The sequence below is a fragment of the Homo sapiens genome, chromosome 11 (genome assembly GCF_000001405.40).
Source record: "Homo sapiens chromosome 11, GRCh38.p14 Primary Assembly".
NCBI classification, from domain to species: domain Eukaryota; kingdom Metazoa; phylum Chordata; class Mammalia; order Primates; family Hominidae; genus Homo; species Homo sapiens.
In genome coordinates this window covers 83,825,955-83,851,041 of record NC_000011.10, presented here as the reverse complement: position 1 = coordinate 83,851,041, position 25,087 = coordinate 83,825,955, and the positions used below count along the sequence as shown (strand labels likewise).

The following is a 25,087-nucleotide window of genomic DNA, read 5'->3' as shown; positions in this document are numbered from 1 at the left end:
CCACGCCAGGCTAATTTTTTGTATTTTTCAGTAGAGACGGGGTTTCACCGTGTTAGCCAGGATGATCTCGATCTCCTGACCTCGTGATCTGCCCGCCTCGGCCTCCCAAAGTAGTGGGATTACAGGTGTGAGCCACCGCGCCCGGCCTCAAAATTTCTTTAGGGTTGGAGACACAAAATTCAACACATAATGCAGAGTGTAAACTTTTCAGGGACAGAGAGCTCTTGTATAGCTTTGTATGTGCAAGGCTCAGCCAGGGTCGAGCCCAGTAGCTGCTGGCCAAACCTTGGTTAAATGAATGAAGAAAGTATATGCAAATATTCTGCTCTGTTCTTCTGAGTATTAAGAATTGAATCTCTGTTTGCCCTGTCTAAGAACCTCTTCCTGATCTGGCCTCTGCCTTCATGTCTCCACCACACCCCTGCTAGAATGGTACATTGTAGTCCAGTGAAAATATTTGCTTTCCTTCAAACACCACATATTCCCTGACTTCCTTAATTTATGCTTTTCCTTATTCATTAATTATTATCCCACTCCCCATCTCTCTATATCAAATCAGTGCTCTCCTATCTATTAGAAAACTTACCCCGGGCTGCCGCGGTGGCTCATGACTGTAATCCCAGCACTTTGGGAGGCAGAGAGGGGTGGATCACAAGGTCAAGAAATCAAGACCATCCTGGCTAACACGGTGAAACCCCATCTCTACTAAAAATACAAAAAATTAGCCGGGAGTGGTGGCACATGCCTGTAATCCCAGCTACTTGGGAGGCTGAGGCAGGAGAATCTCTTGAACCCGGGAAGCGGAGGTTGCAGTGAGCCGGGATCACGCCACTGCACTCCAGCCTGGGAGACAGAGTGAGACTCCGTCTCAAGTAAAAAAACACACACACACACACACACACACACACACACACACACTTACCCCAAATGTTACGGATGAATGAATGTTATTATAATTAGTTATTTTTACTTACCTCCCTGTCCCCCTAGGATGAGAGCCCATTAAGTCAGGACCTAAATTGTATTTATAGTTATATTTCCAGCGCCAAGCACAGCACCAGAAGTGTATTTACCTTGAAACCCTAGGCCCTTCAATTACATGGACCTCTTCAAGCTCTTGTACCTTGTTTGCTAGACATTTTGCTGGGTACTGGAGACACGAAGGCCGGGGGAAAGGGAGTTCATTTACAGTAAGCACATTTTAGATGTCAGGCACTAGCATTCTGGGTAAATAAGAAATTCGCGTTATAAATGTAATATTTTATGCTTTTTTTTTAAAAAAAAAAAAAAAAGGAGCTCCAGATTGTAAAACTTCCAGACCACATAAAACCTGCATCTGCCCTTGCAAAGCACATGCTATGCTGAGAGAAGTAATTCACAAAGCAAATAATTCTGGCCATGTTTTCCTGTGTAATTAAAGTGTGATCTCCTTCAGCAAACCTTCCATAGACCCCCATCTAGAAATTATTTCTTTCTATCCCAGGCCCTCATAACAATTTTTATGTATCTCTTTTATTATTCTACATTTCGTTTCAAATATCTATGTCTCTATATTTATGTCTTATTTCTTCCTCTAGATTAGAAATTCTATGAGGACCAAGTCGGTCATAATAATCTTCATCTATAACACAATACTTGACAAATGTTTATGCTCGATAAACATTTGAATGGCTATTAAGAGCTTGCAATTTTTTATTTGTTTATTATTTATTAATTTATTATATATATTATTTATTTATATTTATTTATCTCCCTTATTTATTAATATGGTCCAGGAATTTGCATTTATTATCCCATTTAATCCTCACAAAAACCACAATGTAAGTACTACCATTATACCCATTTTGGGATATAAAAACTGAGGTTCAACAAGATGAAGTAAATTGACCAAAGTCTTGTAGCTAATAAATGGCAAATCTCAGTTTTAAACTTAGATGTGTGTCTGAAACCAAAGCTGGGTAATTAACTACTGCAGAGGAATAAGTCATTCTTCAAAAAATTGAATAGATATATTTTTTGTGCATAAAGAATTCCCAGTTGGTAGAGGACAGATACGTATATCTGTATCTATTTTTAAGTGATAGTGCTATAATGCCCCCAAATAAAATGCTCTGGGAACACTGCCCAGGAGATGGCTAAATGTGCCTGTGGAATTGTTGAAGGATAAACTGGTTCATCTGGAGATGGGCATTCCAAACAGAGGAAGAACACACAAATGGCACAGGAGAGTCTGACCATGAGGGCCACACAGGAATTTATGCATAATTGATAGGTATAGTGCCAGAAGGAATGTATTGGAAGTTGAGATTGAAGAAGTCCATGGAGCCCAAATTAATAGTTACTTCATATTGTTAGGAGAATCCTAGTTAGGGATCCCTGGCAGAGATGTCATGGGCCTGAACTAAGGCAACAATACTAAGATGACGTGAGAGGCATTTCTGAATTAAAGATGACTGCATTTGTTGGATGATTGGAAGTACTAGATGAGCAGTAGAGAAGAAAATGCAGAAGTTTCTGATTTGAAAATTGGGCAGACACAATTAACCCAGATAAGGAACAAAAGGGAGAAAAAAAATTCTGGGAGAAAATAATGATTTCATTCTGGAGCAACTGAATAGAAATTTGGAGTAGAGAAGACTGATCTGAGCTAGAGATATGAATTAGTGGATTATCAATATAGCAAAGGATAAGACCACCTATTTATTAATTTATTCAAAAAATATCTGTACCAGGCACTAATCTGTACCTAATCTGTACCAGGCACTAGACTAGATGCTAGAGGCCCAAGGGGGTTGTAGTTCTCATAGAGATTGCATTCTAGTGAGAGATGGGCAACAAGCAAACAAACAAACACAATTAATTTACTGTAAGATAAGTGTCCTTACAAGATGCCGTGATTAAAAAAAAAAAAAAAAAAGGTGTGGGGGACTAGTTTAGATGGAGTGGTCACAGAGCACAATTTAAACTGAGACCTAGAGAGACAAAGGACCCCTCCAAGAAAGAGCTAGAGGAAAGGAAAAAGAGGAGAATTAAGTTTCTCCATCACACCAACCACACTTCAAGTGCTTACTAACACATATGACTGGTAGCTACGATATTGGGCAAACAGATACATAGAACATTTCCCAAAATTTCAATTACGGAAATACAGAGAGGAACGTTTATAATGTCAAAAGCTGAAGAGAGGCCAAGTTGGAGAGGACCTAACAATAGAGCCATTTCTGTTCTCTCCACTTTCTTGAAGGTGAGTACTAAATATTTATTAAATCATCAAGTGGAATTGTGGTTTTAGAAATGGGAACGCCCCACTTCTGATTTTCATTAAGCAAGCATGTGAAATGCTAGAACTGGAAGGGATCGTGGCGATTCTGGTTTGCCTTTTTCACCCCTCCCCTAGTTATACAATATGGAAACTTGTTCAGAGGCTGTTTTCAAGGACACTCAGGCATTAATATTGGAGTCAGGACTAGAAAACAGGCCTCAGCCTAAAGTTTTTTCTACAATAATATGGATATATCCAAATCAGAGTTAAGATAAAACATGAAATACTTGAACCCAATTATTTCACTTTAATTCAAGCCATTTTCCCCATATCACACTAATTGTAGAGGGTTTGAACATTTGATAATTAATTGGAGTTTCATAATACCATAATGCTTCAACTCGAAAGACATTTTAAAAAATCTTTCATAAAGTGTACTTTGCCTTCAAGAAGAATATGCAGAGTTTTTTTCTCTAATCCTATTTTTGAATATTAGTTTTGCTAATGCCCCAGCTTCATAATAGTTTCAGACATTATTTCACCAGTCATGAGAGCTTGAGAACAAATGACACAACTATGAAAAATAACTCTGTACAATAGATATTTACTTTTTTACTTTTATTTAGTTTAACAAGATTGCTAAAATTATTCCTGTTATAATTATCAAAAAACATTCCTTTTATAATTAACTTATCTTTAAAACTTCAAAATGCAACAGGGAGCAAAAGCAAATTGTTGTTATTATGGATAGTATATATAACTTAAAAAATAAGTTGGCAACCAAAACATTATGAAATAAAAGAAAAAGAGGGGTAATCCTTTTTTTTTTTTTTTTTTTGGCTTGGGAGATAATGATTAGAAGGTATGGTTATGAAAAGTGAGAACGTATGTGGAGCAACATAAAATTGGTTCTTTGTTTATTTTCTTGAGAAATTTAGACAAAAACAAATTGAGGTGGAACTTGGTTATTAGATTATCATGTTTGATATGTGGATAAGAAAGTACTCCAAATATTTTTAAATCAAACTAATTGATCTATAGTTGATTTATGTTGCGAGAAGAAAATTTTTTAATTTGTCTGATTGATTCCATTTACCAAGGTTGTTATATGTAGTCTCAGATGTGTGCCTAATTCTAAGATTTACTCCAGAGAAGAGAAGGAAAAGAGTTTTACAAAGAACTCAGACAGATCTTAGCAGTTAAATCCAAGACCTTATGTTACAGCCTCAATCAAAGCCCCTCACTTTGCAGCAGAAGTGTCTTTAGAGACCTTTAGAATTATTAATTAACCTCATTGCAGGCAAACTTGGGGGGCTGTAGAAACAGAACAATGTAACATAAACACTTAAGGCTTACAAATAGAAGTTATTGCATTCACAAAGTCTCCCCTGAGTACACAAACATTCAATGTCTTCACATTATCCAAGTATAAAGTGTGAATTCCTTAGGTTGGCATCCATGTTCCTTCCCAGTCTGCCTCAGTCTTCTAGTTTTCCTTGAAGCCAATCCTGCACATTATTCAAACTGGGATACTCACTATTCTCCAAATACATCTTGCATATCTCCGCTCTGGCCCTAGGCTCATGCCATGTACGGAAATACCCTCTACTTTCCTTTCCACTTTCCTAATTTCTACCCATCTGTCAAGATCTAGTTCAGATTGTACATTCTATATGACTTAATATTTGTTCTTTAACACAGAGATCTTTCATCCACAATACTCATTTGGTACTTAACATATGTGGCTTTGCAATGTTGATTTATTACTTTATGTGTGACTATTTGCCTTTCAAAGGTCATAACTTTCTAGAGGGAAAGGAAATGAGTTAGCATTTACCAAGCACTTGCTGTGTGATTCTAGTATTTTTATGTTATTTCAATTCATCTTCACAATGCCAGAAAATAGATATTACTGTTCACAATTTATAGCCAAAAAAGCAAGACCTCAAGAAACTACACCAAGGTTACTCAAGTATTTATTGGTAGGATTATGATTCAAGCCTAGATCTATGTAGCTCCAATGCCCATACTCTTTCCCAATATCACAGTATCCCATACCATCCCCCTCTAGTAGGGTTGTTTTATCCCACACAGTACCAACCACAGTATGTTTAGTATAAACTCTGTATCAGTGTGGTTATTATTTTGCTGAAGTCAGCCTGCTCTATATTGTATATTTAATGCATAGATCCCCCCTTATGATGACAGATTTCTTTCTATTATTTTAATAACATGTCCTCAAATAGCAGTTCAACAAAACCCTCTATCTTTGTGTATCTGTATGATGCCCAATAATCTGTTTGACTGATTATTTGGCTAACTGACCAAATTAACTATTTAAATATGAGGCACACATTATACTGCATCCTTCTGAGGAGCTAGCTCATTTAGATATAAGAAGGTTGTAATCAACCAGCAGCTTTGAAGCCTTCTGTTGTTGTCTTCCATGTGACCACCTTTGGTATGCCCCTCTCTTCACAAGTTTCCTAATACATGTCTTCTCATTCTACTAAAAAGATCTTTTTGATCTCCTACAAGTATCTCCTCTTTTTAATAACATTGTTCACGTGAACGTAGTTGCATTTAATAGAGAAATGAAGGAAAAAGGATTCAGGAAGACTAGCTGTAGACTTCCCATATGACTTCCACGGGTAATAGACCCTTTTTGGGTTGTCGTTATACTAGATCTGGGCCTTCCATCTACAGTCTCTGGAACTCAGTTTTTGTCAGTGTATCCAGGAGTAATCAAGCTTATATGCTGTAATACCATGTTTTTAATATATGATGCAAAATGTAACTACTCAAGATACCAGAATGTGCTATAACTAGCACATTGCTCTCAATAGGAAAAACACTAGGATAAATTATATTTTTAATGAGCTGGAGGCTTGGTGAGCCTGGACTCTGAGAGGGAAATTAGCCACCCAAGTGACCCTAATGACTACTGTCATTGAGCTAGGATGGCCAGATGAGCCCATCTCATACGTTACCCCTACCACCAGGACAGCACATTTATGTTAGCCACCTGCAGCTGGAGCTGGAGATCACCTCGACCTCACAGCTCTGGAGATCTATTGCGAAGATCTTTCTTCTACGACTCAGGTGGACTCTCCCTCCTTTATTCTCCCAATTTATTCAGTTTTATCAATTCTGTTTGCAAGTGTAACTTATTTGACATTCAAACATGCCTTGATTAGTTCCCCAGGCCCTTTTTTTTTTTTTTTTTTTTTTTGATACAGACTCTCACTCTGTTGCCTAAGCTAAAGTGCAGTGATGCGATCTTGGCTTACTGCAACTTCCGCCTCCCAGGTTCAAGCAATTCTCGTGCCTCAGCCACCCAAGTAGCTGGGATTACAGACATGCACCACCATGCCCAGCTAATTTTTTTTTTTTTTTCAATAGAGATGGAGTTTCACCATGTTAGCCAGGCTGGTCTGGAACTTCTGGCCTCTAGTGATCCACCCGCCTCGGCCTCCCAAAGTACTGAGATTACTACAGGCGTGAGCCACCGCGCCTGGCCCCCAGGCCCTTTTTTTTACCCTATGAGCCAAAATCAGGATAGATATGTATCCTGGATATTGTTGAAGTGCTAATATTTTTGTACTTTATCCTTTTGTTTGGGGTGTAGCCTCACAGGGTCCTAATTTTGCTCAGGTGTCTCTGATCTAATCCCACCACTGGGCTCACACAGTCCTATTCATGCAGCCATCAAATCTAGACACTAACACACTAGCTCATCACTCTTCAGTCTGCTGCTATTCTCAGTACTTGCTTTCTTCTGAGTTTGCATTTCTGCTTCATTTTCATCCTCTGAAGATTTCTCTTACTTGCAAGCTTAGCCAAGCATTTAAAAGTATTTTATAACTATTTTATTCAGAATTTTTAGCTGCTTTGTAATGAAAGGGGTTTTCAGAATATCTAATATGCCAAATTACTGGAAATAGCATCTCAATATTTAATTTTCTTTAAAACTTCTCAGTTTTCTAGATGCCTTTAGTTCATTGTCTTATCGGAATTTCAACACTTCCCCATGAGACAAACATTATTCCCTCCATTACCCAAGCAAGGAACCCGACCTGTAGAGGACAATCCTGGCTTCCCACATATCCCAAGAGAGCCAGAACTAGAACTCAGTATCATTTTTCCCAACCACTCACTTTTTTTTCCGTTCATGAAACAATATTTTTGTTTGTATGTCTCTTATATGCTCAGCCTGTACCCGCTTCCAAAATTACACAAAACAAGGACCTAAAAGTCCTTTATCTTTGTCTTTCAGGACCATACAGATTGACAGCATAGATGGATGGGTAAATAAATTTATTTCAGAACAGTAAAGGCAGTGATAGTGGTGTGATCAATGAAAGGACAATGTGGTTTCAAAAAAGTCAGTTCTTCTGGAGGTGAGGGTAGAGGGGACAGCAGAGAGGAGATTGTACCTGGCCTCAGTCTTAAAGGCCAAGTAGGACCTCGTTAGATAGATGAGAATAGCAGGAAAAGGCAGGCATCCTTCTAGCCAAAGCAAACAGCAAACAGCCTGGGCAAAGACAAGGAGGAACAACCTGGGATGAGAAGCTGTGGTTGGCAACTTTGTAAGGCTGAAATATGAAATACAAAGGGGCACAATGAAGTTAAGTGGTGGAGAGGTAGGTGAGGTCAAATAATAGGAAGCTTTGAATGCCTATGTAGAAGTTTAGACCTTATCCTAAAAGGTACACAGATCCTTAGAAGGCTTTTGAGCAAGAGAGAAACATGGTAAGATATGTTCTTTAGAAAGATCAATGAAAACATATTTATATCTTAATTCCCACTACCCAATACAGCCTCTCACCATGGAGGTTGTAGGATTTGACTGGAGTAACTTCCCAAGCCCCCAGACGCTCAGAGTTCAAGGAATAGCCCACGAATGGCCATGAGAAAGACTTCAGTGTAAGTAGTAATTTTCCTTCTTTTTTTTTTTTTTTTTGGAGACAGAGTCTTGCTCTGTCGCCCAGGCTGGAGTGCAGTGGCGTGATCTCAGCTCACTGCAAGCTCTGCCTCCCAGGTTCACGCCATTCTCCTGCCTCAGCCTCCCGAGTACCTGGGGCTACAGGCACCCGCCACCATGCCCGGCTAATTTTTTGTATTTTTAGTAGAGACGGGTTTTCACCGTGGTCTCGATATCCTGACCTCGTGATCCACCCGCCTCGGCCTCCCAAAGTGCTGGGACTACAAGCATGAGCCACCGTGCCCGGCCTTTTTTTTTTTTTTTTTTTTTTTGAGACAGGTTCAAGCGATTCTCCTGCCTCAGCCTCCTGAGCAGCTGGGACTACAGGTGCACGCTACCACACCCAGCTAATTTTTGTATTTTTAGTAGAGATGGGGTTTCACCATGTTGGCCAGAATGGTCTCAATCTCTTGACCTCATGATCCGCCCGCCTTGGCCTCCCAGAGTGCTGGGATTACAGGCGTGAGCCACCAAGCCTGGCGGTAATTTTCCTTTTTGAGTCATGAACACTCTTAAACCATCTGCCGTAAAGAGAGAAAGCCTACAGCACCTCCTTTCTCCTCAAAACATCCTGACTAGTTTAGAGGATCCTCTGAGACTCCAGCTGAGTAAGATTATGCTGCTGATGATCTGTCACAGCTTGCAGCAGGTCAGGCTGGCATTTCTCCATTCGCTCAGCATCCAAAGGTTTTATAATTTTAAAGACTTTTTACATAATATTAAGAGAAAAATAAAAACTGCATAAATGAATATAGCACATTTCATCTAAGTGATGATGGTAAAAGAATAATACCTTTTAAGAAGAAGGCTGGCCGCTCCTTACTCTTGGCTACTTTAGCTTATTGCTCACAAGTTTCTGTCATAGCACTTGTCCACTTCCTAGGCTTCTATAAGCGTTTGTTTACATGTGGCTCCTCCTACCCCAGGCTCTTTAATCTTTGTATTCACAGTGCCTAACACAACATAGGTACTCCATAGATGCTTGTCTATTGGAAGTTGGATGGATGGGTAAGATACATATTTTTAAGTAGCTATCTAACTTTGTTTTTAAAACTGCTGATATTGTGAGTGACCAAATTATGTCTTCTATACATTCCATACTTAAAACATAATATGAAATTAGCTGACAGTGAGCACCTCTTATGTACCAGGTATTGGAGACAAAAAGCAAATGCCAACGTATGTCGTTTTGTATGGGTCTCTGCCCTGAAGTTGCTCACTCTAGCTAGAAAGGGAGTCAAATAAACCAATCCAGTGGAATAAGCATTATGATAGATACATGAAAAGATTGCTAGGTGAAGCACCCAACCCAGCCTAGAGTAGAGAGACTAAGGAGAGTATCAGGGAAAATTTCTAGAAGATTACAATCCCTGAGCTAATTTCAGAATGAGAAATGAGAGATAGAATTTTGTTCCACTGTCAATGTATAATGATGTATAATAATGATTAGTAACAGAGCCTTCAGCAATATGAATTCTGGATGATGAATAAAATAGGAAATCAGAGTCCCCAAATCATTCTAGTATAAAAAGTATTTGAGTTATTTATAAATTGTGTTTATTTATTCAATCATCAGATGTTGACTGAACACTGTTCTATGAGTATTAGGTATACCTAGAAAGTAAACCATGATACCTCACCTCCAGGATATTATGATCTCACTGGGGGCCACAATGCCCTCACACACAAAACAGTTCTTAGAAATGTGGGCTATTATATTAATCAGACCCAGAGTCATTAGCCTCAGCAGTATGCATGCAAAAGCAGCTAGGCTCAAAATGTTTGAGAATGGTTTATCATGAAGATCATGGGTCTTGAGCAGCTGTAATATAAAAGGAAAAAAAAGACAAACGGGAAACAGTAAGATAAAAGGGTATTACAGAATGGGAGAAACTGAAAAGTGAAGAAAAGGATGGGCTAAATGTGGAATATTAAATGACCATCAGTCAAGTACCATTCTGAGCACCATGGAAGCGAAAAACATGAAGCAGATGTCAAATGCACCATCAAACTTCTAACAAGGCAGAGTCTCACACTGGCAGTTCATAGCTGGATGCATAACAGACATCTTTAGTTTGACCTGCACCATGCTTTTACCTTTTTTAACCATTGTCATATTTGAATTCTGGGAAATTTATATAAATATCTAGATTCTTGGCTTATCTTTAAAAATTAGAGAATCTGTCAAGATTGCTTGACATTCCTGCTTGGAGCGATTGTCCAGAGTTGAGCAGCAGCAGCCCCCTTTTAGATGAAATGTGTCTTCCAGTTTGCTATATTTCCTTCTCATCCTGCTTTGCCCATTTGTGTTTTGTGATCTATATCTCTGGAATTTAGATTTTGACATACCTGGTTAAAATCTAGGAAGAGGGAAAGACATTCGTGTAATTAATTATAATATGAAATGGAGACCTTAATCACTGTGGGAGTTTATCCATTCATTTAATACCTATTTCCTGAGTTTCTGCTACCTGCCAGGCATCTTACTATTACTGGGGAAATGCTGGTGCCTGGGTTCTAGGAGTTCACATTTTCTTGAGAAGAAGGTATGAGCAATTATGACACACTGTAAAACATGCTGCAATAGATGCATGTGTGGAAGACACAGTGTGGACCCAAGGAACAAGTTATCATATGTACCTGGGGATTCAGAGAAGTGATGGTTGAACTGAGTTTTAAGGTGGCCTGAGCCAAAACGTAGAGGTATGAAGCAACATGTCAAACTCAGGGAAGCACAGGGACTTTGATGTGGCTGGAACATAGGGTGCCTGGAGACGTTTAAGCAGGGTAGTAAGGTGATCTGATTTGTATTTTAGGGAGGAGAATGTATTTGGAAGATTGAAACTAGGATCAAGGAGACTTCAAGTTGGGAGTTTATCCTAAAAGTCAAAACCTGAATTAGAGGGGATGAAGGGGTTGGAGTAGATACCATGACATTCAGAGAGAGAAGAGTGCAAGGCAGCATGGAATGCGGTATTGAACCATGTGGTTCAAATGATAAGAGCTAAGGGCAGTTAAAGTGAATCTTTGAGTGTCAATGGTTTTGGAAACTATATTCTGTAATATATCGTAATCCCTTTTTTAAATTAAGAATCCTCCTCTGGCTTATATATACTTCAATGTATACTACTATACTTTAAATATACTTGAATTTTAGCTTAGTTTTTAAAAATTTTCATTGTTTAAGTTCCCTCTCCATCAAATGGATGAAACACTTAACTTACAGCAAAGAGACTAGCTCTGATGCTTCTGGCTATGTGAATGTAGACAAGCCGATTTACCTAAGCATCGGTAAAATAGGACTTGTAATACTTTAAAGGGCTTTGATCCTCTAACAGGAAAATATATGTGAAATGCTTTAAAATCTACAGATTGCTGTAATAGGTTATTAGGATAAGAAATTTAAATTAGAAAAAATAAATCATTTGAAGTGTGCTTAGGACATTTTATTTGCATTCCATTTTACAAATTTATTTTTTGTCATTTATCTTCACTATTAAAGTAAGTATCATAATTAACTATAATATAAAATTCTGTTTTTAAAAAAGGCATTTAAATCTTCTGAGTTTCAAAAATTCCAAATAATATATTTTAAAAGATTTGTTTTGATAGTTTGAAATCAATGGGGTCCAGGTAAAATAAATAAAATCTACTGTCATGCAAACATTATATGTTTTCTGTTTTTAAAGACAGGAAGCAGTATGTCAAAGTGCAAAGGTCACTAACAAAATGCCCCCAGATGGGTAACATAAATGGGTAATGGGCAATGATGTTTCATAATGACCTTTGAAAGCTGTATTCTTCCTGCATAAAGTCACATTGCATATTAAACATGTAAGAATAATCTTTACTTCCATAGGAATCTTACTCTCTCCCATTTTTATTAAAATATGATTCCCTCCATAAAGCTTTCATTTTCCCATTTTTGATAGGAGTATGAGTACAAGAAATACTTTCCTCTTAATTTTATAAGAAGTGCAAATGTGGTACAATGACAGCTTTTTTTTTTTTGTCTGGGAACAGGAGAAAGAGGTCAGGACTATGGCAAACTAGAGCATGAATGACCCTTCTAAAGAAGCCCATTCTCTAAACCAAGTGTTGCCTCACAGCAAAACTGGGAGCTAGTGTTGATGGAATGCCAGACTTTTTTCATGTGAAGCCACAAATCCATATTTCATGCAAATTTTCCTAATTTTAAACTTGGGCAGCTAATTCAAACATTTGTAAATATTATGAGTCAAATTCAGCCTTTGACTTGCTGGTTTGCAATCTCTGGTATATACCGTATTCTAGACTTTTGGATTGTGAGACAGAAAATCTATGTCCTTAATCCTGCCTTTGCTGCTTACTAAACTCAGTTAAAAGCTTAGACAAGTAGTCTCATTTCACTAATCTAAACATTTGCCCTAATGATTTCTTCATCAGGTTATTTATTTTACTCATAATTTCATTATAAACATTTTTCAAACATAAGGAAAAGTTTAAAAATGTTACAATGAACATCCGTGTACTTGTCACCTAGATTCCACTATTAACATTTTCCTATACTTTCTCTATCACATACCTACCCATCTATCCAATCATCAATCTATTTTGCTTTCTGTTCCTGTTTTAAAGTAGTTGCAAAATCAGTATACCTTTCATTTTTTTGAGGAATAAATCAAATGATTCATATAAAGCATCAAGCACAATATCTAGCACAGGGACAAATGTCAGAGTCCTAATCACTCTCTTCCCTCCATCTATATGTACTATATAGAGCTTCAGTGTTGTTGGACCCACTAAGAATGTCTATACGTGTGTTTATTCTGGGGAAAGGGGGAGATTTCGACAATAACCTTTTCATGAAAATTCTGTTGGCCTCTACGTTTAAAATGTATCCCCATTTCTCTCTAATCCACCCTCTTATTTAAAAAGCAAAACAAAACAAATAACCTTGAGTAGAAAAACACAAATGTAGGAAGACTTTAGAGTTGGAAAGGAGGCAACAAACTGGCTAGGAAAGGAAGGATACTGTAGTGAGTTCCCAGGACTTTTTCTTTCTTTTCTTTTTTTTTTTTTTTTTTTTTTTTGCTTGCTATGTATTTGGACAGAGCACTGGAGAACCTGCAGCCTGGAACCGCCAATAAGTACAGACAAAAACAGCCCCAAGTAAAACCTGCTCCCTTTAGATAAATGACTGGGAAAAACAGGTAGACTAATAGAACCGGAAAACTTTTGATAATACTGACCTACTCTAGCCAAACACCAAAGAAAAAACTGTCCCCTCAACCCTGCAGTGTCAGTAGTGCTATGCCGAGAGCTAGGTTTCTGGCTCTACCAGCGGCAGCCAGGAGAGGCAACTCTAAGATGGCCTTACACTTCTTCCACTAGGCTGTTGTTGGTAGACAGAACAAGAACTGAATTTCCATCCCCACCTGGCAGCAAATAGGCAGAACAAGGGGGTACGAGGTGATGCTAGTCGATACTCCACTTTCTAGTGGGGAGCTGAACTCGTACCCTTACCCAGCAGCAACAGGCTGAAATGAGGTGGCGTTAGTTGGCATTCCATTCCCCTACTCCTAATATTGATGGGAACCAGCAAGAAGCTTAACTTCCACCCCTGCACAGTGGCAATGAAGTAGGAGAAAGAGGAAATCAGTACTAGTTGGAAAACCACTCTGCCTGCCAGGATAGTATCAGCAGGGCCCTGTGAGGAGCTGAACTCCTACCCCCATGCAAAGGTAAGGAGAATAAGGTGGTTCAAGGCAGTGCTAGTCAGCACCCCATCTTCTCTCCCCGATTGGTGTTAGTGGATCCAAGCGCGGAGCTGAACTTCTACTCCCACCTAGTGGCAATGAGGTAGAATGAGGTGAATGCTCTGTGTCTCCCTCCCTGCTGTTCTGTGATCAAGGGGGAGCTGAACTGCCATGCCCACCCAGCTGCAAGAGGACTCTATTTTACATCAAAGGAATCATTTACAAATGTAAGTCAGGTCAATTCATTTCCTCACAGGCTCCCCATTTCTATCAGAGTAAAAGTCAAAGCTTTTAAAATGATCTACAAGGCCCTGCAGGATTAATGCACCGTTGTCTCTCTGATAGTGGTAGGCAGAGTTCTAAGAGGGACCCATGATATCTACCTCCTGGTGTTACTCCCACAGTTAAGTTCTTACATAAGAAAAGGGATTTTGCAAGTAATTAAGGTTACTAATCAGTTAAGATAGGAAAATTATCTGGGTGGGCCTGGCCTAATCACATAAACCCCTAAGAAGCAAAGAGTTATTCAGCTAGTTGGAGAAGAGGAAGTCAGAGCTTCCAAATGTGAAGAGGATTCAATGTGCCATTAGTTGCTTGAAGATAGAGAGAGCCATGGGGTGAGGAATGTGGATGGCCTATAGGAGCTGAGAGAGGCCCCAGTTGATGGCCAGCAAGGAAATGGGTACCTTATTCCTTATGATGGTTAATTTCATGTATCAGCTTGACTGAGTCATTGAGTGTCCAGCTATTTGGTTAAACATTTTCCTCAGTATGTCTGTGAGGGTGTTTCTGGATGAGATGAACATGCAAATCAATAGGCTGGGTAAAGCAGATTGTTTTCCCCAAGGGGTGTGATCCTCATCTAATCCACTGAAGGCCTGAATAGAATAAAAAAGCATTGAGAGGGTGAATTTGCTGCTTCTTCCTGACTGTCTTCAAGCTGGGACATCAGCAGTCTTCATCTGCCTTCAGGCTTAGCCTCAGCCTACAACTATTTAATATATATCACTGGCTCTCCTCGGTCTCCAATTTGCCAGCCACAAATCCTGGGCCTTATCAGCCTCCACAACTACATAAGCCAATTCCTTATGATGTATGTGTATATACTATAGGGGTGTGTGTGTATGTGTATATACCATAGGGGTGTGTGTGTGTGCAATCTCATGTTGGCTTTCTCTGAAGAACCCTGACTAATACAATCCTACAACCACAAGAAACTGAATTCTGCCAGGAACCTAAATACATTTGGAAGCAGATTTTTCCACAGAAATTTGCAATAAAGCTGAGCCTGGCTGACACCTTGACTTCAGCATAGGTAGGCAACACAGTCAAGTCCACCCAGACTCCTGACCTACAGAACTGAAAGAGAATAATGGCTGTGGTTTTAACCTGCTAGATTTGTGGTAACTTGTTATTCAGCAATAGAAAACTAAAACAGTGACTTCATTGTTTACCATTCTCCTTTCCTCATTCACTCAGTTCAGCCACAGTGGCCTCCTAGTTCTTCTTTGACAACACCAGGCACCCTTCCATATTAGGATCTCTGTTTGGCTGTTCCTTTCCTCTGGCCAGAATGTTCTTCCTTTTTATAGCGACATGACTAGTTTCCTCACCTCTTCAATTTTTTCTAAAATGTCACCTTCTCAATCCATCCTACCCAGGCCCTCCTCACCACAACCTATCCCTCCTACACTGCTCTGCCTTTTTTTCTCTCCAAAATACTTTTTGCCTTCTAACGTGCTATATAATGAACTTATTTATTGCATCTATTGTTTATTAGTGGTCTACCTTCATTAGATTGTAAGCCCACAAGGACAGGGATATTTGTTTTGTTTGCAAACATTCTGAGCACCTGAAACACCTTCCTGGCACAGTAGGTGTTTACAAAGTATTTGTAGAATGAAATGAGTTAACTCTATGTCACTTTACCTCTGACTTAATGCATTGTTACATAATTTATTACTTACAGTTCAAGTTGTGAGGTGCACTTTACACCTTTCCTCATAATAAGGCATATATACATAATGCATCATTTTATGCATGGAAATGTGATAGCAAGTAACAAATTCTTTGTGTAGCCATTAGTATAAAATACATGGGATGGCTCTTTCTCATTCTTACATCATTAAGAGCTGGAAAATAGAAGATGAACTGAGATGTTTGGGAGAGGAGGGTGGGTGATGCAAATGACAACTTGGTCAAACCTAAGGCTTGCAAAAACACTTTTTAAAACTACTGATACAGAAAATTGAACTAAATGCATTTTAAGACTTTTTACATTCTATAATTCCATATTATTCTGAGCTGTACACAAACTCAGTGAACTATTGGCTCAAGATTTGATCTCTGACCTTTTTATTGATGATCCTCAAATATGTATTTATAGTCCTCTCTGAAGGCCCATATTCCTATTCTTTGTCTCCAGCTGCTTCAGAACATCTCCACCTGGATATCTCACTATTTCCTGGAACTGAGTGTGTCAAAATCATACTCATTCTCATGACCCTGGATTCCACTCATCTCTCCTTTTGCTAGTTACTTAGATGCTCTCTCTCCTCTTTTTCCAATGTCTGAGTCATCTCTGGACCTACTGCTTCTCCCTTCAAATTTCCTCTCTCATGTTGCCCTTTTTAAAATTCTCACTGCTGTCACCCTTCTTCAGGCTGTGACTTCCTCACAGCTGGATTCCTAGACAACATCCTAAATGGTTTTCCCACCTCCGATCATATCTGTGCTTTCCTCTCCGTCAGCCCTCCATAGGACCATCTGTTAATTTTCCTAAAATGAATTTAAGTATTCTTAATGTCTCAGAATCTTCTAATGAGCCCCATGGCCTACACAGTAAATTTTAATTAACAGTCAAGCAAACAACAAACCCACAACCTGGCTTGTAAGATCTTTCATGATCTGGGCATTCAACCTTAGTCTCTTCTTCCCAAAAATCCCTCCCTGCTTTTGTGTGCATCCGTCATACTGAGTACTACTGTGGTGCTTGATACAAAAAGAGATGTTTTAAACAAAAGAAAAGTAGAAGTAAAGGTAGTTTAAGAAATTTTTTTAGAATGAAGGAATGATTTTTTGCATGGTATTTTGGTAGTTGTTGCAGTGGGGAACTCAAACATCTGTCCTGATATTAGCCTCTTTCTTGATGTGCAAATGTTATCTTAGTTTGAGAAACAATTTTACAAGTAGTGAGTTGCTGATATCATATATCCCATTGAAAGTAAAAGCAACGTAAATCTTAAATGGATCACCCTCTGAGCTGTGTTCTCTATTTCTTTCTGCAGAGAGCCTCGCAAGGTAGTCCTGCACAAAGGCTCCACTGGCCTGGGCTTCAACATTGTCGGTGGGGAAGATGGAGAAGGTATTTTTGTGTCCTTCATTCTGGCTGGTGGACCAGCAGACCTAAGTGGGGAGCTCCAGAGAGGAGACCAGATCCTATCGGTGAGTATGTTTCTTTAATCTTTATTCCCTCCATATCTGACGCCATCAATGAAAAAGTCATAACTTTCAATTATGATACCAAAAGCACCTTAATTACAAAGGAAAGTGGATGAGAGCATCACGACTTCTGGTGCATGTCACAATTTTGTTTGTTTTTGTTTTTGTTTCCTTTGAGACAGAATCTCGCTCTGTCTGTTGCCCAGGCTGGAGTGCAGTGGCAGGATCTCAGCTCACTGCAACCTCTGCCTCCCGGGTTGAGGTGATTCTCCTGCCTCAGCCTCCTGAGTAGCTGAGATTATAGCTGCCCACCGCCACATCCGACTAATTTTTGTATTTTAAGTAAAGACAGGGTTTCGCCATGTTGTCCAGACTGGTCTCAAACTCCTGACCTCAGGTGATCCACCCGCCTCAGCCTCCCAAAGTGCTGGGATTACAGGCATGAGCCATCAAGCATGGTCTACATGTCACAGTTTAAATGGTGTTCAGGTCCTTGATGCTTGTGGCACTTACTTCCCTCAAATAAAGGCGAAGGTGCTAATGTTTTCTTCTAGATGTTCTGAGACACATTTGCATCCAACAGAACGTTGAGAAGCATGCCTTTTTAAAAATGATATATTACTTATTTTATTTAAAAAAACAGACTTTTCTCCCAAACTCATAACCATACTCTAAACACTGTACCTTTATAATGTGTATAGTTTGGTGCAAATGTAAAAACAAAAAAATGCATAAGATAATGCTATATAGAGTTTGCTGATGGTACTAAGTTGTAGCAGTGGCACCATTCAACTAAATTCAAGAATTATCAGCAACAATGTATTAAGCACCTTTTTTTTTACCTTTTTAATAATTTCAACTTTTATTTTAGATTTGGCGGTACACACGATGTTTCTTATATGGGTATATCACGTGATGCTGAGGTTGAGCATACAATTGATCCCATTACCCAGATAGTGAGAGTAGTACCCAGTAGTTTTTCAATCATTTCCCTTTTCCTTCCCTCCCCACTCTAGGAGTCCCCAGTGCCTATTGTTGCTATTTTTATGTCCATGAGTATCCAGTATTTCGCTCCCACTTATAAGTAAGAACATGTGGTATTTGGCTTTCTGTTCCTGTGTTAATTTGCTTAGGATAATAGCCTCCAGTGGCATCTGCATTGGTGCAAAGGGCATTATTTTGTAAGTAATTTTCAAGGGTACTTTACTGAGATGAGATTGACGTAGAAAAAGTTGTACATACTTATGACGAATTTGGAGATATGTATGCACACATGAAACCATCACCACAATCTATGCCATAACACAACCATCACTCCAAAAGTTTTCTCCTGTTCTCTTCTTTTTTTATTATTATTTTCCTTTTGTTATAAGAACAATTAACATAAGATCTACCATCTTAGCAAATGTTTAAGCAAGCAGTATTGGTGACTATAGGCACACATTGTTCAATGGACCTCTGACTTATCTTGCATAACTATTATTTATTCTTCTCACAATCACTCTGAAAGGTACTGCCTCATGTTCAAATGAAGATAAACTTCCAGCTTGTCAAAGTTTACCTAACTATAGAGAGTCAGAGCTGGGATTTAAGTATTCCATTTTAATGCCCATTACACCTACCATATCCCTTCCCTCCCTCTTTTCATTCTTCCATCTCATTGCCACTTTCCCCCTTCCTTCTAATTTCCCTTTCCTCTTCCTTTCTTTTCCTGTTTCCTTTAACTTATTCAAATATTTATTGGCTGTCTCCTTCTACTATGTCAAGCTTCCTCCTTAGTATGATAGGGTAAATCCATTGTGAGTGTTCCTGCCTATATTTTAATTTTACTAATCATGAAAATAATAACGGAGGGTTACATAAGGAGCCAGTACTTATGGCTGATATTATGGTTCATAGTTCATAACTAAACAAAGCACTTAGTTTGTGGTTTTCATTGTGCATTTAGAAAAATTTGTTTTCATTTTATGGCTGTGATTTATAAATAGAATCTTATAATTTACCTTATATTTGTTAGCCACCATTCCAACCCTTCAAAAAATGGGAAAATCTCTCTCTCTTTCTCTCTCTCTCTCTCTCTCTCTGACATACACACACACACACACACAGTTTACCTGAATAACATCATACAGTCAGTTGACTTTAGTAAGGTGTCCGGAAATTTGCATGAATAGCCTTGTCGTATGTGTCACTGTGGTCCTCTCACATATGAAGGCCTCTGCCTACTCATCAGGTGCAGTTCTCTGGAAGGATGTTGAGTATGGGAGATACAGCGTATAGTCCCACACCAGGACCTTGTTCTGCCATCCAAGAGCTGAGCATCATTCCTTAAACTACTTCCCTTACCTACTTCTTCAATACTTTCATGATATGTAAGATATAACTGGCAGCTATCAAACCTTATTGTGCATATACGTTTACATGTCTGTCTTTCTGTACTAGGTGGTACGGTCTCTGAAAGCAAATTCTCTATCTTATATGATTTTATATCCTCAATATTTAGCACAATGCCTGGCACATAGCAGTCTCCCAAAAAAGAAGTGTTTATCGAATGAAAAAGTGTTGAATAAATATGGTGGTACATTAAGAAGTCACTATAGCCTGAAGATTGATTCTAAAATTCTACCTAAAGCATACTAACGTATCTTCATCATCCTGGCTTACATTCTGTATACTTGCGGACCACTTTGTCATTTCATTACAATCAGCATTCATATCGTCATTAAATGTTCCCAGACACAAAGCACTGTCACATGCATTAATTCTAGAGATTCTCTAAGGCATTCTAAGTGGCAGGATAGGTTATTATTATTACTCCCATTTTCCAGATCAGAAGAAAAGAGATTTGGAGAGGCTAAATGATCTGTCTATGTCTCCACAGCTACTGACTATAAAGCTGAACTCAAGTCAGTGTTCTTTCTCCTCTCAGCACACTTTCTTTTCAAAATATTGTCAACAGTCTCTATGGCACATCTTCTTGGTGCACACCGCACTGTGTGCACATCACATTCGGGAACACATAAAGCAATAAAGAACTAATACTTACATGGTACTTTTGAGTCAGTCACTATCATAAATAATTTAGTCTTCCAACAACACTATGCCTTGTTATGTTCATATTAAGGATAAAGAAATTGAGCTACAGAGATGGCATTAGACTCTCTAACTCTGTTTAAATAAAAAATCCACCAAGCCATAGGCTTTATTTATTTTAACCTCCATACATGTGAGAGGAAAAAGGTGATCTAGTGATACTCTATGGCTTGACAAAGAAAACTCGCAAGTATTTCTGCTTCAAAAATAGATTTATCCATTTAAATATTATTACCAGGACCACACAGTAAATAAGGCAACCAATCAGAATTATAGTCGTCTTAGATATTATAATTCACAGAATATAACAACAATCTTTGAAGTTCACACAGCATATCCGTTTTTATGTATAACATTTGCAAATACAGATGATGAGGAAAATATTATCTGCTTTTTTCAGTTGAGAAAGAAGAGGGAACATTTTTCCTTAGTATATCAAAATGTATTTCACCTGTAGCTAGCTAGAAAATGGCTAGCTTCTGGAAACCATCATTCTCAGCAAACTATCGCAAGGACAGAAAACGAAACACCGCATGTTCTCACTCATAGGTGGGAATTGAACAATGAGAACACTTGGACACAGGATGGCGAACATCACACACCGGGGCCTGTCGTATGGTGGGGCAAGTGGGGAGGGATAGCATTAGGGGATATACCTAATGTAAATGACGAGTTAAAGGGTGCAGCACACCAACATGGCACATGTGTACATATGTAACAAACCTGCATGTTGTGCACATGTACCCTAGAACTTAAAGTATAATAATAAAAATAAATAAATAAATAAATAAGAAAATGGCTAGCTTCAAGGTTCACTATTGGAATTTAATTGCTTAACATTGAGAGAAAAGAACAGTCTTGAGAAGCTCAAACATTACAATGTGGAAAGCAAAATGGCACAGAAGAATTACTAATAATGGAATATGGAAGATAAAATATTTTCATCTATAACTTGCACTGGACATACAGGGGCAAGCAACCTTCCTGGAAAATGCAAAGCAAAAACTCTAAATAACAATCAAGAGCTAGCTGGGCACAGTGGCTCATGCCTATAATCCCAGCACTTTGGGAGGCTGAGGCGGGCAGATCACCTGAGGTCAGGAGTTTGAGACCAGCCAGGCCAACATGGTGAAACCCTGTCTTTACTAAAAATACAAAAATTAGCCAGGCATCGTGGTGTGCACCTGTAGTCCCAGCTACTTGGGAGGCTGAGTCAGGAGAATCGGTTGAACCCAGGAGGCAGAGGCTGCAGTGAGCCAAGATCACACCACTGCACCCCAGCCTGGGCAACAGAGTGAGACTCTGTCAAAAAAAAAAAAAAAAAAAGCTAAATAAAATTCAATACATATTAATAGGTCATGTAAGATTAATTTGCAAATAAGTCATGTTAACAATAATGTAGTAGTTTCAGAGAAAGGAAGTAGAATCCCCAGGGAAGGGATCTGGAGGATATGTCTTTGGTCTCAATTGTTCTTCATAGGTAAGAGACTTGCATAATAGACAATAACCTTTCTAATGAGGGGCAGAATGTCCATTCCTACTCTCACACACAGACTATAGAATATTCCTAGGTAATTTAGTTATTAATGGCTTACTATGTGCCAGGTATTGTATATGTATGTATATGTATATAAACACATATACATACACATATATATATATACACACACACTGAAGAAAGAGAAGAGACAGTAACACTTAAAATACAGCATGTCATAGTATACATATTCAATAAGTGTTGCTATTACTATCAACTCTGCTTTAAGACTGTATCTGTTGTTTTTTAAAAAGGTTCAGATACCCATGTATAAGGAGGGCCTCTTTTGGATAGTTTGGGCTGTTCCTTCTTTGGGACAGGGATTGGACTAGATTGGCATTTCCCAAAGTGTGTTTCGTAGAACACTGAAACAGCAGGATTGTAATAGGTTGCTACTGTAATAGGTTCATTTGTACAGGCTTCTTCAATGAAGAACTTCTAAAAAACATGTTTACCTGTGTCCATTGGAAATCTCCTAGAGCAGATGAAGTCTATGGCTTTCAAAAACATTTTGACCACCAAACCCTTACATAAGGAGTAACTTACAGGACACCAGTAGTGGGAAATGCTCGAGTAGATTTGTTATTATTATTTGTGACGGAGTCTGGCTGTGTTGCACAGGCTGGAGCACAGTGGCGTGATCTCGGCTCACTGCAACCTCTGCCTTCTGGGTTCAAGTGATTCTCCTGCTTCAGCCTCCCAAGTAGCTGAGATTACTGGTGCCTGCCACTCTGCCCAGCTAATTTTTATAATCCCCATAATTGACTGATTCCTACATTCTTGCCTATACAGAAAAGGGAAGTAACGTTTTACTATGTTTTAAGGTTATGGGTGCCATCTAGTGTTCATGCATTGTCAAAACACATTACTTAGCAACCTGAAGATGGAGGGTCCTGAAGCTCCATTATAGGGATTTTTTTCCAGGCCTACCCCTTATCCCCACCAGAATTCCAAAATTAAATATTTAAGATGCTCAAAGACAAAGAAATTGTCACCTTGGGCTACATCCTATACATGTATTATAAGTGATCTTTTCTAGTTTCTCTTTTATGTATTCTATTTCTCAGGGATTTGTTGCAGAACGGAATTCAGTAATTGAACCATATTCTTGATGTATTCATGGAGGAGAATTTAGGGCATTCAGCATGCAGTCACATTAACTAGTGCAGTCGCCTCCTCAGGCATTCTTTCTGCAGAAGGAAAGCTAGAAATGCTTCTCTTATTATTTGTTTCAGTGATTTGTTAGGAAAAAATGTGAAACAGAGCACAGAGAAGCAATACCCCTAGAAAGAGATTATTTCCTGTCTCTCCAAGCAATTTTAGTTTATTCATTCCTCAGGCATCCAAAAATGATCACCCCAGCTGACTTGCTAACTCCAAAGCTCATTCTTGATATGGACTTTAAGTATTTAACAAAGTGTGTTTCAAGATACGTGATTGGGAATATGTATTGCCAGAAGTGAAATGCTGCAGCTGTCGAAGTGAAGGTATAATAGGTAACTGGATTTCCAAATTAGAATTTAAATTGCATTGTTGATTTAAAAAGAGTAAAAATGAGTCACAGCTGACATGGGTATTTCAAAAATTTTCAGGTTATCTTCATGTTTAGAAACGTGCAGAGGGGAAGGACTTGATTTGCCAGGACTCTATTTTCAAGTTAATTAAACAGAATATGAGCACTATACAGACTATTCTCCATCTTGGGGTACTGATAAGGTCACCTTATATTGTTACCTCAAATAACATTTCTAAATCTCTGCTGGTGTTGTTGCTTCCACCTCTCCACTGCCATCCCCAGTAAAGATGTCCAAAATTATTTCTTCGATTTCCTGAAGTGGTCCTCATATGAGCCGCCAGACCTCATCCCTTCCAGTCACCATGCCATACCTGCCGTGCCGTTCCTCTCTGGCTCTGGTTCCCGGTCCCATGAAGGAACCTTGCTTTCCTAGTTTTCAGTACTGATGTTCTCTGCCTAAGAAACTCTCTCTCCCTCTGTGTGTTCCTGAAACAAGCACGCTCTGAAATACTAAAGAGGATCTGGGGCCTATGCAGTGTTAGGGACAAGTCTCATCTCCACATCTCAGTGCTATTATTTCACCTTGTCCCCAAAAGTGAAACAGCTTAAATCAGAAATCTTATGAAACCTTTCACCTAAGCCACACCTTCAGCTTCTCTTCTCTCATCTTCAAAACTTGGAGTCACCCAAACTCCAGCAAAACCACTACTCTCCCTTCAGGAAAAAGTATCAGTAAGGTTTCAGAAATTTCAAGGTACTGTATCAGCCAGGACATACTCTTAAACTTTGAAGTGAAATCCAACTAAGTGGAGTTGATGCTGTTTTTGAGGAGGTAAAAGCTTATTGCCTTAAATCTGACCAGTTAAATTTAGAGTTCTGGTCCAGAAACCATGTGGAAGTTGCCTCTCCAAACCAGCATGCTTGTTCCAGGCATTTGCTCTCTCTCTCTAACCCACTGCATCTAGACACATTGACTCTTCAGTCATTTCTGGCTTTTGCCTCTCTTAATTGTAGAGCCCATTTAGACTTCTCCCTACCTTACTGGATCTTTCTTCCTGCACAGCTCAGAACTCACTGCTCACCTGATCACAAGACCACCTCAAATGAAAACAGATATGGCTTGTGAAGAGGCTCCAGGGGAGTCACTCTTGCTCAGCCTTGGCTTCAGAGCCCCACTAGCCAGGCTGTACCTCCTGGCCCAGCCACCAGAGTGTGGGTATTCAGCAGGGCCTGACTATGGGCAGAGTTCTTTATTCCTGATGATTGCCTAGTGCATATAAACATCACCCATCACATACAGACTTCCAGCCTTTGGAAAGAGGAAACTGTACAAAAAGCCTATCTAATCATATCCTTTTCCTGCTCTCTTTAAAGCCTTTCAATGGTGTCCTGCTGTTCTTAAAGCCTAAAATTGTTAACACAGCCCACAGAATTTTGCAGAGTCTGGCCCCTGCCTGCCTGGACAGCCTGCCCCATCCACAATACTTCCCCTACTCTCACTGATGCTTCAGCCACT

At 39.0% G+C, this 25,087-nt stretch overlaps 1 protein-coding gene across 52 annotated transcripts in view; it reads left to right on the top strand.

Moving 5' to 3' along the window:
* The window catches only part of DLG2 (discs large MAGUK scaffold protein 2), a 2,173,362-nt gene that overhangs the window by 1,777,332 nt on the left and 370,943 nt on the right, over positions 1-25,087 (top strand). For all 52 annotated transcript variants that reach the window (NR_165353.1, NM_001351274.2, XM_017017256.3 and 49 more), the window contains one exon: positions 17,272-17,428. Coding sequence is in view for 51 of the 52 variants with exons in the window: in NM_001351274.2 (NP_001338203.1) it covers positions 17,272-17,428 (157 nt within the window). In the remaining variant the exon portion in view is untranslated. The remainder of the gene's footprint in view (positions 1-17,271; positions 17,429-25,087) is intronic.